The 18,092-nt window shown below is 42.6% G+C and overlaps 1 long non-coding RNA gene across 1 annotated transcript in view, besides 3 other annotated features; it reads left to right on the top strand.

Moving 5' to 3' along the window:
- Positions 1-231: 231 nt before the first annotated feature.
- The window catches only part of LOC107986405 (uncharacterized), a 34,244-nt gene continuing 16,383 nt past the window's right edge, over positions 232-18,092 (top strand). Inside the window, exon 1 of the long non-coding RNA XR_001742600.2 lies at positions 232-329. This is a non-coding gene — a long non-coding RNA (uncharacterized LOC107986405). The remainder of the gene's footprint in view (positions 330-18,092) is intronic.
- Positions 15,700-15,759: a silencer, noted in NCBI's record as "silent region_15911". NCBI's record gives its function as "represses an Ori minimal core promoter by ATAC-STARR-seq in GM12878 lymphoblastoid cells {active_cell/tissue: GM12878}" and the evidence as "EXISTENCE:reporter gene assay evidence [ECO:0000049][PMID:35858748]".
- Positions 16,099-16,178: an enhancer, noted in NCBI's record as "active region_22351". NCBI's record gives its function as "activates an Ori minimal core promoter by ATAC-STARR-seq in GM12878 lymphoblastoid cells {active_cell/tissue: GM12878}" and the evidence as "EXISTENCE:reporter gene assay evidence [ECO:0000049][PMID:35858748]".
- Positions 17,643-17,772: an enhancer, noted in NCBI's record as "active region_22350". NCBI's record gives its function as "activates an Ori minimal core promoter by ATAC-STARR-seq in GM12878 lymphoblastoid cells {active_cell/tissue: GM12878}" and the evidence as "EXISTENCE:reporter gene assay evidence [ECO:0000049][PMID:35858748]".

The raw sequence follows: 18,092 nt of genomic DNA, 5'->3' as shown, positions 1-18,092 counted from the left end.
TGTTACATGAGTAACTTTTCATTGGTTATATGAAACTGCCGAAAAAGGTTATAGCTCTCCAACCGAACATTTTATCCTACAATACCTTCCAATATAAACTGTAAACACACACACCCCCACACGTTTCTTACTTCAGATTCATAAATGGGCAAGGTGAGGGAGAGCCGACAGAAAAGTTACTGTTCCTACAATGGGCACTTGTTTGCAATGTGCTATGCTCCCCAGATTCTCCTCCTGAGAAGAAGCCATGGATTTCACAGCCAGGAGATGTGGGGCTCAGACGGGATGAGTATGTTCCTCTACGTCCTGGTTGCTGGAGTGCACCTTAGGTGAGTGGAAAAGTGCAACCAAGCATCTGCATGGAAAATAAGTGGTTTGAAATGGTAACTGGGGTGTCCAGCCCTCATCAGCTTGCAGGTACAAATAGAAATTATATTTTCTTGAATTTGCAAAGTGACATGACTTCAAATGTCCCCCTGCAGGTGCCTGTTCCCCTCCAGTGGATCCTTGGGTATTTGAGGGATTTCTGGGGATTTGAGCTCTGTGTGCTTCACTCCCTCACATCTTTGGATCCAGCATCATCCTCCTGGCACCCCCCACATTCCCTGCTTCCCTCATGTGGCATCGTCTATGGTGGATCCAGTCTCTCTCTTTTGGGGAAGGCTGAAGGGCCACTACTTGGGCCACGTGGGAGGAACATTACTGACCCCCTTTGCCGCTCTATCCCCGAAATCACACAGGGCTTTCCACTGAGAGCGCATTGCATGACTAAAGTCAGGCTCAGCATTGGTAAAATTTCTACCAAAGGTCTATGGATGACAAAAGGGAAGTACAATTCCGAGAATAGTTTTCAACTGTTGTGAGGTCAGTTATGAGATCTGGCAGTAATCCCTCACCATTTGAAATCCAACCGCTTACAAGATCAGAGAGAAGACAGTGGCTCCCCACTGTCCAATTTCAGGGTTTACCTCTGGAGTCTGCATTCCATGTTCCCCTATCTCCCTCTTCCCAGGGGTATGGATTTCATAAAGACACACTCATTTCAGGGGAAAGTGCTCACCTCTCACCCCAGGGGCTCTCAGGGTGACCACATCAGAAGAGGCTAGTTCAACATCAGGATGTGCTCTAAGGGCCAGGACTAGTCCACACCCATCACACCAGCGCACATGTGAACCACCCAGTGCAGTTTTTGTTTTCCCAGGCCAAGCTTATTTCCTTCTGTAGCCCAAACTCCAGCGTTAGAGGGTGATCCATGTCTTGGCATCTTTCTTGATATTCCAGGTCTCAAGTTGGGGGATCTAGTGAGTTACTGTGAAACACTGACATTTATCTTCAATAGGCAATAGTTCTTTCTAAAATTGCACTAAATCAGGAGTCATTTATTTCTGCTCCTCCTCTTCCACACCCTCCTATAAAGAGTCGACAAAGACACAGTTCAGACTAATCATATAACCTGAATTTGCATCAGGGAGTCTCATAGTTTTCCGCTAGAACAATGGGCAGGCATTAGTTTACATCATAGGAACCAAAAGGATGTGTTCAGAGACTCCCTCAAACAAATGAGCCATCCCCAAGACTCCCCTTTTTGAGACCATTCTGCTGCTCCAGAAGTCTTAGGGCGACTTCTCACACTAATATCAAGAGCTAAATTTCACAAGGTGTGTTGATCTTGACATCAACCTTGTCAGGCAGATGAAAGGTCAGTTTTTACTTCCACATAGCTAAATTGAAGAAGGGGTCATTTGAAGTTGTAGTTAGCAGAACTGCCTGTCAGGAATTTCAGAGACCAGGTCCCAGCCTTGGATGGTGCCATTCTCCATGATATATCCTAGACGTTTTTATATTCAGAAAGTCATAAATCCTGAAAAGGGTAAGTGGTGTGCTGATTCTCTGGTGAATATCATTTTTTATTTCTTTGCAAAGCCATTTCTTTCTCTTAGTCTTATGTGGGCCGTGCATACTCCCTCCTCTGAAGAGCTGAATTCCCTTCAGGAGCACTGAGTCACCATGTTGATGATGGTAGGGGGCTTAAGAGACTTTGGAGTTGAGAGAGCAGTGGCCACTTCCTGCAGTGGCTCATGCAGTGATGGAGAAGGCAGATTCATAAGCAAATGACCATGACACAGTATATAAACACTGCAATAGTGGCGTTTGTAACATACAGAGGGAACATGGAATATGGTAGAATTCTGCCTGAGTATGATTCATTGAAAGCTAAAGAGAAGGAGTGCTTTTTCAATCTTAGGAAGACAAGTAGCTCTTTTTAGGTCAGATTAGGAGAGAAAGATTCTCCAGACATGAAGAATATGAACAAAGGCCTGGAAATGTCTGAGAAGAAACAAGTTGTCTGCTGTGAATAGCTTGGAAGATTGGAGAGAGAATGGAGTGGAGGCTGAAAGATAAACTGAACCAATTTGTGGAGGGTCTGGCATGGCATGTTAAAATGTTTTCCACCTATTCTACAGGCAGGGCAAATCCTCAGATACTTATAAGCAGGGAAAGCAGAGAGGGCCAATAAAATATGTGTGTCCTCTTCCAGAGCATGAGGATGCCACTGAGGAGGGGTTCCAGGAAGAGCCGTGGACATGGTTCTAAAGAAATATGAGTGGAATTGGCATCGAGTTTCCTTATTAGAAAGCTGGACAAGCTGTACTAGGCTGGGTGCAATGGGAAATGGCTGGGTTTGTAACCACCCATTGTGTTCTTCCTGCCTACTGCACAAACAAGATCAATTCACAGTGATATGATTTAGTTCTCTGCCTCCACCCAAATCTCATCTCGAATTGTAATCCCCATGTGTTGAGGGAGGAAAGGAGGTAATTGGATTATGGGGGCATCGTCCCTCATGCTGTTCTTGTGATAGTGAGTGAGTTCTCATGAAAGCTGATGATTTTATAAGCCAGTTTTCCCTGCTCTTGCTCACTCTCTTCTCTCTCCTGACACCTTATAAAGAAGGTGCCTACTTCCCCTGTGCCTTCCACCATAATTGTAAGTTTTGTGAGGTCTCCACAGCCATGCACAACTGTGAGTCAATTAAACCTCTTTCCTTTATAAATGACCCAGTCTCAGGCAGTTCTTTACAGTGGTGTGAAAATGGACTAATAACACATGAGACCATGACATTGTGGTAAAGAAAGAGTTTCATTGATGCGAGGCCAACCATGCCAAATGGGAGACAGAGTTGTTACTTAATCTCATTGAGAATTTGTGGACTAGGGTTTTAAAAAGGTCCCCTTTGAGGAAGGGGTTGGAGTGCCTACATGATGGGTGCTTGCTACTGATTGGTTGGGGTACAATCATAGGGGTGTGGCCAATGGTCCTCCTGTGCCCTGAGTTGCTTCTGGGTGGGGCCAAAGGAGCAATTGGCATGTCTAGGTGGAGCCATTGGTCATCAGACATGCAAAAAACCTGAAAAGATATCTCAAAAGGCCAACCTTAAGTTCTACAATAGTGACGTTATATGCAAGAGTAATTGGGGAAGTTGCCTATCTTGTGACCTCTGGAATAATGGCTAGCAATCATTTATATCTATGCCTTGGCAGAATTCAGGCCCCTGTATCCTCCTAGCCCAGTGGTCTCTCATTAACTTTACACAGGTGGTTAAGTTTTGGGGAAGGGCTATTATCATTTAAACTATAAACTAAAAGTCCCCCCAGGTTAGTTTGGTTTAAGCCTTGGAATTATTAAGGGCATCTTGAAGGCTAAAGGCAAGATGAGGGTTAGCTAGATCAGATCTCCCCCACTGCCATAATTTTTCTCATGGTTATAATTTTTGCAAAGTCGGTTTCAGGTTCTTGATGTTGGTATGAGGGCCATCAGTGTGTAAGTGGCAAATACATTTATGTATTGATAGAAGTGGGCTAGCACAAATTCAAGAGACAGTGATATTTACCAGGGCACCTGGAGGAATAATATCATTGGCAGAGATCATGGAAGAGACTTGATTCATTGTGATGTGAATGAATAAAGATGGCGCATTTCAACAGGGAGGAAGGGATCCCATGTAGAAGAGGTCCAGAAAGATAGCAAAAAATCATCCACTGGATTTGGCAGTTAAAGAGCCATAAAAAGCATCCCTTGAACTTTGACAAACCTGACAAAAACAAGCAATGGGGAAAGGATTCCGTATTTAATAAATGGTGTTGGGAAAACTGGCTAGCCATATGCAGAAAGCTGAAACTGGATCTTTCCCTTACACCTTGTACAAAAATTAACTCAAGATGGATTAAAGACTTAAACATAAGACCTAAAACCATAAAAACCTTAGAAGAAAACCTAGGCAATACCATTCAGGACATAGGCATGGGCAAATACTTCATGACTAAAACACCAAAAGCAATGGCAACAAAAGCCAAAATTGACAGATGGGATCTAATTAAACTAAAGAGCTTCTGCACAGCAAAAGAAACTATCACAAGAGTGAACAGGCAGCCTACATAGTGGGATAAAATTTTTGCAATCTACTCATCTGACAAAGGGCTAATATCCAGAATCTACAATGAACTCAAACAAATTTACAAGAAAAAAAAAACCCTATCAAAAAGTGGCAAAGAATATGAATAGACACTTCTCAAAAGAAGACATTTATGCAGCCAACAAACATATGAAAAAAAGCTCATCATCACTGGTCATTAGAGAAAGGCAAATCAAAACCGTAATGAGATACCATCTCACACCAGTTAGAATGGCGATCATTAAAAAGTCAGGAAACAACAGATGCTGGAGAGGATGCAGAGAAATAGGAACACTTTTACACTGTTGGTGGGAGTGTAAATTAGTTCAACCATTGTGGAAGACAGTGTGGCAATTTCTCAAGGATCTAGAACTAGAAATACCATTTTTCCCAGCAATCCCATTACTGGGTATACACCCAAAGGATTATAAATCATTCTACTATAAAGATACATGCTCACGTATGTTTATTGCTGCACTGTTCACAATAGCAACCAACCCAAATGCCCACCAACAATAGACTGGATTAAGAAAATGTGGCACATATATAGCATGGAATACTATGCAGCCATAAAAAAGGATGAGTTCATGTCCTTTGCAGGGACATGGATGAAGTTGGAAACCATCGTTCTCAGCAAACTAACACAAGAACAGAAAATCAAACACTGCATGTTCTCACTCATAAGTGGGAGCTGAACAATGAGAACACATGAACACAGGGAGGGGGACATCACACATCGGGGCCTGTCAGGGGGTGTGGGACTAGGGGAGGGATAGCATTAGGAGAAATACCTAATGTAGATGATGGGTTGATGGGTGCAGCAAACCACCAGGGCACGTGTATACCTATGTAACAAAGCTGCATGTTGTGCACATGTATCCCAGAACTTAAAGTATAATAATGAAAAAAAGTGTTATCACCCATCACCACCACAATACTCTAGCCTTCTCCCATAAATATGTAGCATTTATCACTAAAAAAAGAGAAAAAGAAGAGATTGCAGGGGATTGGGAATAAAGGGGTAGGTGAATATTGAGGGTCCAAGTGAAGACAATGGTTTCATGGATATTCAATAGTGTGAATGAATATATACGCATGATTCTTTATCAACCTATGTTTTACCAGTTACTCTGAGCTAATTATGTAATTTGGGGTCTACAAGCATCCCTGCTCCCTCCTTTAACAGAGAGAGCTTCCCTCCCTCCATCTTTGGCAATAGGGAGCTCCCTGCTCGTTAGCTATGCTGTGGGTAGTAACTTTTATTGTTTGGTGGTGGTGGTAGGTAGGGACAAACAAACTAATGCAAACCTCTTAAAATTATGAAAAACTCTGAGAGGAAAAAATCCACACATAAGTTCTGAAGCCACCCACTGTATTAGCTTTCTAGGGTTGTCCTAACGAAGTAACACAGATTGGGTGAGTTAACCAACAGAAATGCATTGTCTCTCAGTTCTGGAGGCTGGAAGTCTGATATGGAGGAGTTACAGGTAGTTAGGCATGAGCAGGGCAGGAGAGGGCTCTTCCTCCACCCACTAGAATGTCTGGTGATGGTTCGGTGGTTATTGCATTGCCTTTCTAAAAATGACAGTTTGGCAGCACGAGGGAGAGGCCACTTACTAATGGTCCACACCCATTAACATCAAAATGTCAATTGAATGCAAACCCCAGGGAGAAGCAACTTCCTGGACATACGTGTCAAGAGACAAAAGTGGTGAAGTATGATCTTCTGGGGGCAACTCCACCAGAAAAGGGAAGAAAGGCTCACGTGGGCATGCATATAACTCCTTAAACACACTGCGCTGTGCTCAATGCCAAAGGGTGCAAGCACTGGGCATGTGGAAAGCCCACCCTAAAGGGAAGAATCATGGGAAGAGGTGAGCCCAAAAAGTCCTGGGATCAAGGTGAAAGGCTCTCTTTTTGCAGTCTTCTTTTGCTCTCTTTTCTCTCTTGGATCTTCAGGTGCCCGCTTGGGTCTCTTTCAAATGAATTTTCCTTTCTTTCCTGTTTTAAAGCCTTTTAAATAAACTAGCACTCCTGCTCTGAAACTTGCCTCGGTCTCTTTTTCTGCTTTATGCCCCTCAGATGAATTCTTTCTTCTGAGGAGGCAAGGACTGAAGTTGCTGTGGATCCTTATAGATTCACTACCAGTAACTCAGGGTAACTCAGATCTCTTCCACCAGTAACAGAGGTGTCAGCAGGGTTGGTTCCTTCTGAGGCTGTGAAGGAAGACTCTGTTCTAGGCCTCTGTCCGTGGCTTGTCCATGGCCATCTCCTCCCCGTGCTTTCTCATGGTCTTCCTTCTATTTGTACCTGTCTCTGTGTCTGAATTTCCCTTTTATAAGGCCACCATTTGTAATGGATGAGGACCTCACTTAAAATGATCTCATTTTAACTTAATCACCTCGTTAAAGACCCTGTCTTCAAATACAGTCGTACACTGAGGAACTGAGGGGAGAGGACTTCAACATATGCATTTTGGGAGACACAATTCAGCCCAGAACACTCACCCTATGCATTGATCTATAAATGGGTATTAGGGGAGTTTTAGAGTATAGTCATGTTGTCAGTGATTAGGAAGGAGAGTCAGTGGCTTTCAGGAAATTATGGTGTATTAGCATGTCTAAAGTTGTACTTAGTCTATTCTAAACCACCTCATCTGAGAAAAGACCTTGTTGTTAAGAGATCAGATTATAAACAAGGGGCTCAGAGATCAAGACTTTTGCGAGCAGAATATTTCTGGTGTAGGAACTTCACTGCTCATGGAGAGGATGTCTAGCAGTAGGCACAGGTTTTGGTCTCTCTGAAAGGTTTGTTTCCCCAAGAGTTGGTATCACTATCCTTCAAATTATTCTACAAGCTTCCCTTGTCCTCACTTCATGCTCATCAAACAACCTTTTGTTTATAATTGTCAATGTTGGAGTTTTCAAAAGGGAGAGAATGTGCTGATCAGAAGAAGTAAGTGTCCTGCTGAGTCAAGAATTCTTTTGTTGAGATTTAGAACCAGCATTCTTATTTATACATCTGTCTGTTGAGGACGGATGGAGCCAGTCTCTTTGAGACCTCTGGATACTTCACCCAGCACTGCTCCTCTGGGAGACTCTGGCTTTTAAGTGGTCTTCTCAGGCAGGCTTCTGTAGCTCTCTCCTGCAAATGCAACATTTGTCAATTGCTTTAGTAAAGGATCTTGTGGGAAGACTTTGAACCATTTGCTAAAATTAAGTTTTTGGATTATGGTTGGCTTTTTATTACCCATATTATGTCTGTCTCTTATTGCCACAAGTAATTGAAATGCAAAGACAACTTGGCAGTGTTCCATAGCTTATCTATCATTCTGTTTTTTTACAGTCTTTTGTGGTTTTATTACTTTATGGTAGCATCTCATTAGACCAAGACCTCTCCTGAGAAATCATTTGTCATTGAAAATATCATTATTATAGCCACAAAAAAGTGGATGTCTCTGGCAGTGCCTAGAACCGATGAGGCCTTTCTTCATGTTCCATAGAAGTGTTTGTGCACAGGGTCCTCTTTCCCTTAGCCACTCCAGTTCCTGTCAGTCTCAGCTAGGCTTCCCTTTCTCATTTGCCTCAAAGGGGCTCTTGTGTCCTGAATGTAATGTTTTTATTAATAAGCATGACTGATAAGTCCACTATGAGTTATTAATATTCTTATGACTTCTATACCAAAGAGTGGCTGTATTTTGACCCATGATTCAGGGGAGATCTTCTGAAGAGTAGAAAACAGGAATTGCAGTGGTGAAATATTTATATTTCCTTTACTTAAGACTTCAAAGACAAACAAGAAGGTGGAAGCATCCTGAAAGAGTTCTAAAGAACTCTGGGTGTGAACCACTTAAAGAGAATAAAGAGGCTATTATGATAAAATGACTAATTGAAGAAATATGGGTACAAGATTGTTTTTGTGCAATGTATTAGGAAATTCTTGCACTTTTTGTAATAAAAAGTATTATATATTTTTGTATTAGTGAGGCTTGTCCAGATGAACAGAGCCCATAGGATATGCATGTACAACTCTTGCTTGGGGGAAGTCAGTCTTTCGTTCTGTTCAGACCTTCAAATGATTGGATGAGGCACAATGTCATCTAATCTCATCCATAATGTGGATAAGACAGCCACACTATGGAGAACATTCTGTTTTACTCAAAGTCTCAATTTAAGTGTAAATCTCATTGAAAAACCATGTTCCCAGAAATATCCAGAATAACGTTTGAACAATATGTAGTCACCATGGCCCAGTCAAGTTTCCACATAAAATTAACCATCACACTAATACTCTCCAAAAGTATAAAAGCATTTTGATTGAAATTATGTTGGCAGTAGCTTTTTCACTTTCAACAGGGTGGCTGACTTGTGGGCAGATGGCAAAGAAGAGACAGTAATGGGAACCCATGTTTAGGTGGGGTGGAACCAGGGGAAATTTTCTTCATTAGTCAATGGAAGGTTTTGAATCTCAGAACCTGTTTGAGGGCATGCATTCATGAGACCCACATTGTTGATTTTGTGTATATTCAGTTTCGGATAAGCCTTTAGAAAACTTAGGGTTGGATGCAAGGACACTTATTGGGAAGAACAACAAGTTGGGTGATGAGGCCATTCTATGCTGACTTGGAATAGGTCAAAGGTCATTGTTCTAGGGTCTGTAACCTTTAATGTTTTTATCAGTAACTTGAATAAAGATATATAGATGTGATCATTGTGATTTTTTTGATAGGTCTGGATTGACAGTGGATAAATTAGAATAAAATAAGAATCCAAGATGACATGAAAAGATCCAATTAGGAACTGAATCTCTGTGGAAACTTACAGGAGCACACTTGTGATCCCATTCTTGTTTTCTCAAGCACTTTTGCAGTCTAGGAAGATAGGGTTGTGGCCAAGTAATATCGCATGCATAAAATTCTTAGAAGTCTTAAGGTGACTGCTCCCCCAGAGCAAACTGGATGCTTTGAAAAGCTCGGGCTGTTTTTGCGTGCCAACATAGTGTTGACTAGGAGAGGGTGCTGTGTTAAACAGAGGTCACAAAGCAATCAGCCACCCTATCTGGTCATCATTTACACAAAATAGCATTGCCAGAAAGGGCTTTCATTTAAAAATGGCTGGAAGGCAGGGTGCTTGGTGAGACATTTCCCTATGCCTTTTCTTGTTACTGTCCCATTTTTCAGAAAACCAGCACTGAGAACTTGTTTCCACAGTGCTAGTGCTAGTTTCCACTTTATAATACAAATCCATTTGTAATGGCAAATGTATCTCTATTAGGATAGTTAGCTTAAATCAATTATATAAGTGCTTTGTAAGACATTTATTTTGCCCAGTGTTTCATCAGCATCAAGGATTTAAAAAACTTTGATCTTTCCTTTTCTGAAATTATTTCATAAAAGTGATGGGTTTACTAAAATTTACTGTGAAGCTAACCTGATTACTCTGAGCTATTTTAAAGAGGATTAGGCTATTCAAGGGAGGATGGGTTCTAATCCCATGACTAATATTTTGGCCAATATAGCATAATTCTTTTTGATTATGAAAATTGGTTAGTAACCGTTGCAGTATGTGCCATCCATTTCTGGTTACAATAAACAATATTAAAATGTGTCTGTTGGAACTTTGTTGTAGATTAACTCCATATCTCTGAATTAATCACTGTGTAGTAGGGAAACCTGCCATATTGCTGGAGGAACCTAGGGGTAAAAGTTCTTTTGTCCTGACATTTGCAGGGGACTCATTTTATCCATGTGTTTCCCATTATTTAATCAAGGTTGAGTACAGAAAAGAGAGTCGGGTAGTAATGGTAGTAATCATTTCAGAGGGATCTGGTCTTTGCCAGAATAGAATTACGTTTCCAGGTTGAGGTTTCCAAATGTTTTTTTGCCTAAAAGAAAACAAGCTTACTTGTGTTTATTATAATCATTGTGCTAAAATTTACAATAGATATAAGCTGTAGAAGCTTGGTTAATTAACGTCACTTCTTAAGCCTAAGGGGATATCTCACAGATTTTATGGCTGTATTTTTGTACCCAAAGGCTCTTGGTCTGATTAAAAAAGAAAAAAGAACCTTGGGAATACTTTTATACTGAAAGAAGCCTGGAAATGTGGTTTGGTACCAAAATAGCAGATTTTCTGAGAGATGTTGAGAGTTTATAAAGACAGGAGACAAAATTGGGACTACATAAGTGAAACTAAACTCATGCCGTACCCTCATACTTCCCTTCCCTTGTCCTCTAATTAGATCCTTCACCACTCCTTATTGGTTCAAAGCAACATCAGGTTGCTCAAGCTGGACACTTGGGCATCGTCCCTGAGGCAGAGTTCATCTTCGTAAATACCTGTCCACTTCTCTCCGCCCCCATACCATCATCTGGGTCAGATCCAGAATCATATCGTGGAAATAGCAATCGATGTTTCCTCCCCAAATTTCCTTAGCTCCCTCCTGTTTATTGTTGACACTGCAGTGCAGTCAGGTTTTTAAAACATACATTTCATCATGTTGACCCTCTGCTTAAACCCCTCAGTGGCTCACCATTGCTTTTTACATAAGCCCAATACCTTTACTTTCACCCACTGGACCCCGATTCCTGGCCCCAGGTTACCCCTGCAGCTGCATCCTCCTTCTCTCTCATCCTCTGTGCTCCATGCTATGCCTTATTTGGTTCCTTGAAGAAAGGCTTCCCAATCCAGAGCTCGCATGCATGTTTCTAATGCTGGGACCCTCTTCTTTCCACTCTACCTTCCCAGCTTTATCTTGCTGACACCTACGCTTGCTTCAGTCCTCAACAGTGACTGGAGCTGCCTGGGACTGCCTTTTCTGATCCTGTTGTCAAGTGTTACTCTCCCAGCATGTGCTCACACCACCCAGTACTTTTCCCTCACAGCACCATTGTGATAAAGTAATTATCTGTTTCCCTAGCTGTTTGGTGTCCCTCTCACCTGCTAAATTGTAAGCTCCCAGTGGGGCAAGCCCTGTGCCTTCTGTATTCCAGAGCTTTTCCTGGAGTTCACTATATTGTAGGGACTCACTACTTATTTGTTGAATAGAAAAATAAGTGAAAATATGAGCATGGAGTCACTGTGCCAGGGAGAGGTCTCATATGAGCTTCAAGGTTTATGGCATATATATATATATGCATGCACGCATGAGTGGAAGATAATGTGAGTAAATATTAGCCAAATATGTCTCTCCTCCTCCATTATCCCCTCCTCCCTTTTGGTACATCTGTGCATTTTGCAATCATTACTGAAGGAAAGGGCTGCTAAGAGCAAAGAGCTGAGAAAAGCAGGGCAGGTCTCCTCCTGGTTTGCGAATTTTAAAAGCTGAATGTAGTAGAACAAGGAATATATCCAGTCTTCGTCCTCACTTCCTGGCACAGGTCTTCAAAACCTTGGCATGTCCTGAGTGATAGGAGTGTCTGTTGGCCAATATTTATATAATTTTTGTCAAAACATAGAAAAATAGAACCATACCTAGGTATATTATTCTGCAATTTGAACTTTTGTGGCACTCAGGATCATAGACCTCCAAAGATGTCCATATGTTAATCCCTGGAATTTGTGACTATGTTACCTTAAATGACTAAAGCAACTTTGCAGATGTGATTAAGGGGCTTGAGATGGGGAGGGTAGCCTAGATTATCTATGTGGCCCCCGTGTAATCACAGGGTCCTTATAAGCGGTAGACAGAAAGGTCAGAGTCAAGAAGCAGATGTGCCAGTGGAAGCAGAGGGCAGAGTCAGAGACAGAGTGGAAGATGCTGCTCTCCTGGCTTTGAAGACGGAGAAAGCAACCATGGGTCAAGGCCTGCAGGCAGCCTCCAGAAGCTGAGAAGGCAAGGAGAAAGTATTATCCCTGAGAGCCTCCAGAAGGAATACCATCCTGCTGACATCTTGATTTTAGCCGAGAGAGACTCGTTTAAATTTTGACCTCCAGAACTGCAAAATAATACATTTGTGGGTTTTTAAAATCCACTAAATTTGTGGTAATTTATTATAGCAGCCATAGGAAACTGAAACAAATTCCTACTTAAAATAAGTAATAAACATTTTCCAGGCCCATAAATACATTCTTTTAGCCTCATGTTAATGACTCTAATCGTTTTCCACTATGGAGCTATCCCATAATTTATCTACTGATTTCCTTGGTTGAGCACTGTTGTGATACCTTGGTTCTTGTCTTCTTAGTTTAAAAGAATTTAAGAGATGCACAGCAAAGGAGATGTAGCATACAGTAATTTATTGCAAAAGAAAAAGAGTATTTTGAAAGTTAGGTGCAGAATAGACAGTACACCGTAAGAGAATCAGGGCAGGCTGCTCATAAGGACGAGACAGCAAAGACTTGCTCTAGGGAGACTCCCTTTAGGGGAGTCTTACACAATTATTCATAAGTAGGTGGGAAGAGGTGTTGCTATAAACATGTTCTGGGTGGTCCTGTGGGTGCACATGCTCAGTAGCTGCAATTCTTGTTCATACATCGCATGTCTCATTAGCACCTTAAATCTCCACCCAGGGAGATTTATAATTTACTATTATAATGAGCGAAAGGTCAATTTGAGGACAGGTAAAATCAAAGCGCACATGCTCTCTAGAGGAGAAAGTCTGTACTGAAGATAGCTTTGCCTGATCGAGCTCAATTACAATGTGATTGTGTTGACTCTTGGGTCACCATGGTTGCTGCATCCAAGAACCTTCCTTGATGACCTATCCTGCCTCACTTTAGAATGCTTCCAGATTTTTTTTTCTTCCTGCTGTATAAACACTACTGTGATTAATACCCTTGATATATGTCTTTTTGCACTTTTCTGGTATTTCCCTAGGATTGATTTCTAGAAGTGTAGTTCTAAGGAATGCAAATTATAAAGGTTTGTGACATACGTTGACATTTGCATTTGAGACGTAGAGATTTTCGGTGTAAATGTGTTGACTTCATCAGTCCATCTCTGTGAAACATAATGAAATTAGGTCTGCTAAAAGAGAACATTCCTTCATATTTGAATCCAATCATTTATTCTTCCTGCTGTTCTCTATCTGCAAAGATGAGAAAAGAAAGATCTAAAATAGTGCAGAGAGGGGGCCTGCTTTGTAGATGCCAATCGGCAGGTTCTTTTCTGGGGAATTCCTGCTGAGCGGCAGAAACTGACATCTTGAAACAAAGCTGGGGTCAAAGAAGTTGAACCCATGCATCAGTTGCACTTGAATATACCAACTTATTCTCCAATGTGTTTACACATGTGGATGTGATTTTGCCCATTTGTGACTGGGCATGTGTTTTGGGATGCTGCTGACCCTCTGTGGGCACGCTGCAATGATAGCTGGTACTGCAGTTGGGAATATTCTGCGTGAATTTCCAAGAGCATTTGTTGTGCATATTAATTACATGTCCACACTCTATTATTTGAAATTTATTTTCAAATAATAAATTATTATTATTCTTTGAGTCTATTAGAGTCAATCAGGGTCTAAACAATTAATATGACATGGATATTGCATGGGGAAAAGTGGTAATAAGTCCAGAGTTTTAACAATTTGGGGTTTCAATTTGGAAAGCAATGCAGTACTTATTTGGCTATAGACACGTTTTTTTGCTTCTAAAATATTATGGTTAATTCAGAAGTGACCAGAATGTAGGCATAAAAGAGGGCAGGAGATAAGAGGGGAAAGAGAAACTCCAGAGTGTGGGGGAGTGTATTAAGCGGATAACTGGACAAATCCTAAGTATGCTAAATAGGTTACAGTTCCTCAGGTAATATGTATTGCCCATCATGCCTATTACCCTGGTTCTATAAACAAGTTCTACTATATTTATTATTAATTACCAACATATGAATGACACTATCTGATGTGTGTATTTAGGTAAATAGCCACAGATACACCTTCAAGGGACTGTTGACCACATACCAAAGGAAGTCTAGATCTCCAAAAGGGCAAATATCTAGGAGAAAATAAAAATAAATCTGGATGTCTGTTTTCATGGTATAAAACATAAAGTCACTCTAAAATATCTGAGTGTTTGAATTTTTCAATTTTCTTCTGAATATCTTGGTTATTTGAACCAAGTCTAGGAAATATCCTCTTTCCGCAGTCTTCCCCCTTAGGCAGGGCAAGACTGGAGGAACAAAGCTATAATGTGCATGTGTGGAGGAGCTGCTGTATTAGCCTCCTAGGGCTGCATAACAAATAGCACACACTTGGTAGATCATAGCAGACGTTTGTTGCCCTCACAGTTCTGGAGCCTGGAAGTCAAAAATCAAGGCATCAGCAGGGCCAGGCCTGCTGAAGGGTCTAGGAAGAATCCTTCCTTGCCTCCTCCAGCTTCTGGTGGCTCCAGGTGTTCCTTGGCTCATAGCTGCCTTATTCCAATCTCTGCCTTCGTCTTCATGTAGCCTTCTCCTCCTCTCTTGGTCTCCTCTTCTGTCTCCTTTAAGGACACTGTTGTTGGATTAAGGGCCCATCCAGATGAATCAGGATAACTGCATCCGGAGATCCTTAACTTAATTACATCATAATGACCCTTCTTCCAAATAAGATCACATTCACTGGTTCTGAGGATTAGGACATGAATGTATCTTTTTGGGGGACTACCATTCAATTCACTACCCTCCCCCCAACCCCCACCTGCCATCACTGCTCCACTGCAGGCTGATGTGGCTGGAACAGGCTGAAACTGCTTGGTTTACTGCTGGAGAGACAGAATATATGAATGGATAAGGCCACACCAGATGTGAAAACAGAACTCTAGCCCGCAATCTGTAAAGACCTGCTGTATTAGTCTGTATTCATACTGCTGATAACAACATACCTGAGACTGGGCAATTTACAAAAGAAAGAGGTTTAATTGGACTTACAATTCCACATGGCTGAGGAGGCCTCACAATCACGGTGGAAGGCAAGGAGAATCAAGTCACGTCTTAAGTGGATGGTGGCAGGCAAAGAGAACTTGTGAAGGGAAACTCTTCTTTTGAAAAACATCAGATCTTGTGAGACTTACTATCACGAGAACAGGATGGGAAAGACCTGCCCCCATGATTCAATTACCTCCCAATGGGTCCCTCCCACAACACAACACGTGGGAATTCAAAATGAAATTTGGGTGGGGACACAGCCAAACCATATCACCTGCCCAGGAAACCAACTCATTATCTACAGCAGGGATCCCCAACCCCTGGGCCGCAGACCCACAGCAGCCTGTGGCCTGTTAGGACCTGGGCTGTACAGCAGGAGGTGAGTGGTGGGTGAGTGAGCATTACTGCCTGGGCTCCGCCTCCTGTCAGATCAGCGGTGGTATTAGATTCTCACAGGAGCATGAACCCTATTGTGAACTGCACATGCAACGGATTTAGGTTGTACTCTCCTTACGAGAATCTGATGCCTGATTATCTGAAGTGAAACAGTTTCATCCTGAAACCATCCCCTCCCACCCCATCCCCCCACTCTTGCCCAGGTCTTGTGGAAAAATTGTCTTTCACAAAACTGATCCCTGGTGCCAGAAAGGTTGGGGACCACTGATCTACAGCAGCCAGCCCATGAAGTCAGATTGCTGCCTCTAGCCACCAAATGAGCCAAACAATAGCACCTGTAGCAACCAGCCCCAAGTGGCCAGGACTTGATTCATCACTGACAACTCTAATTTTTTCCCCTACTTCCGACTCAGGACCTGCCAGAGAAAGCCACGTTCGCTCCCCTAACCAATCACATGGGATTCCTGGCTTCTAGTGAACCCCACCTGCAGCTTCCCCCAGCCAGCAGCCTCCACTCAGGGCACACCTGCAGCCTCCCACTTTGCCACTGTGAAGCTTCCCTGATCCTCTGCCTCCCTTCAGTCTCTGCCAAACACCACTGACTGCTACTGCCTCCCATGCTATAAGTAATGAGTAAACAGCCTGTGCCTGCTCTCTGTTGCTGGTCTTTGTTTATTTCAGCCTTTGCTATCTTCTGGCTGCATCCAGCCAACATCCTCAGCTGGAGTTCTCCTTGAATATCTCTTTTCCACACCTGCAGTGTCCCTCTGCTGCCACACAGGAGCCAAATTCAAACTATCCATGCAGCTAGAACTGGGTGGCAGCGGAGGGGAGGCAAGGGGATGTAACGAGCAGAGGGCTCGGTGGTTCTGACCAGCAGGGTATGGACAGCAACAGGACCTGTGGCCAGGTGTCAGAATGCACCTCAGAAATGATTCAAGCCCCACTGTTGAATCTGCATATATTAAAAGCTCTTCATGGGTACAACCCAGGCATTTTATAAATTGTGTTGTTTTCTAGATTTTTTTCTTTAATTCTCTGGCCTTTTCTTGGTCATTGAATGAGGTTGCCTTTGGGATATAGTAGTGTTTATTTTCTATTGCCCTGTAATTATGGAACGTTGACAGGGAGGTAACTTTAGCAGTAACAGATTTTTTAGGCAAATGACTGTATGAAGCTGGTTATGAAAGAAGCAGCAAGGAGAGGCCTGAAGGGGTTAACTCCAAAGGGGCAAATCTGGAATGCGGGAGGAAAGCAAGAAATTGTGCGGGAAGCTGGAAGAGGCCATGTGGTTTGATATAAATAGCACAGGGCTGAGGTCAGGTGATGCAGTGATGTCAAAAAGGGGCCCAATTTATAGGACCTTCGTCATTCCCGTCTGCTCCACAATTCATGCTCTGGTACTAGTCTGACATTTGCCCAGTGAGACGATAATTCTGGGCCTCTGTTTTTTTCATGTGAAAGGTCCAGTTTTCATTAAAACACTCTGTAGTCCATGGGACCAACTGACTGTAACAGCCATGAGGATGGATTGGAACAGTGGTTGCCAAGCTGAGCTCCCCTGGGAGCTTCTAGGTTTTTCACGAAGTTGCTTGGGGCGGCTTGCAGGGGCCCTGGGCCGCCCTCAAGATCTGCTCCTCATGTCGATGTGAATGACGCCACATTTACCAGTTTTTCATGTTGGGCTTCTATCTATGCTTCACCTTGAAGAAATTTTCTTTTAGCTAAACATTTTGAAGACACTGAAGCAGAGTGTGCTGGGCAGTATGATATGAGCCAGCAGTCTTGCTTTCCTGTCTTTGGCTGCATTGCCAAGCTACATGTCAAATATGCATGTTTCAGGAAATACGCAACAATGGTCCTGCTCACTCACCTCGCTCCAGGGTGTTTGCAACCCCCACTTATCAGGCTGTACTTGAGTCACTGGCTAGTTACAAACAGTGTGAAAATTAGCACAGACTTAACGTAACTGGTTTTGCAGCACCTCTGGAGAGAAGGCATAACTGATTCTGATCACACAGTTGAAAAGCTGGAAATGCAAACTATTTAAAGGTTACCTTGCATGATACTGGATGGGTCACGAGGACAGCCACGACCAGAACTGGAGCCAGCCACATCTAAGCCCAGCATCCCTAGCCATCCGTGACTTCTTTCTGCACAGCTGACTTTGAACTTGTCTGCTCCCTCTGAGTAGGGAGTAGCCACTGATTGCTAATTTTTGCTGCCAACAGAACTTACACTCAGCTTCTCTATAGTGATGATAGGATTTCAGCATTGAAATTCCTGCTTGGGAAGCAAGTGAAATAAAAAACAAACAATGTCTTGCTCCCTACTTAGTGCCCTCTGTGGACCCCGGGCCTGCAGCACATATACTGACCATGCAGCCTGAAGGACCAGGGCC

Source organism: Homo sapiens, chromosome 5 (assembly GCF_000001405.40).
Source record: "Homo sapiens chromosome 5, GRCh38.p14 Primary Assembly".
In the NCBI taxonomy this organism is placed as follows: Eukaryota; Metazoa; Chordata; class Mammalia; order Primates; family Hominidae; genus Homo; species Homo sapiens.
The sequence above is the reverse complement of the archived record's forward strand: the minus strand, read 5'-3'. Positions and strand labels throughout refer to the sequence as shown.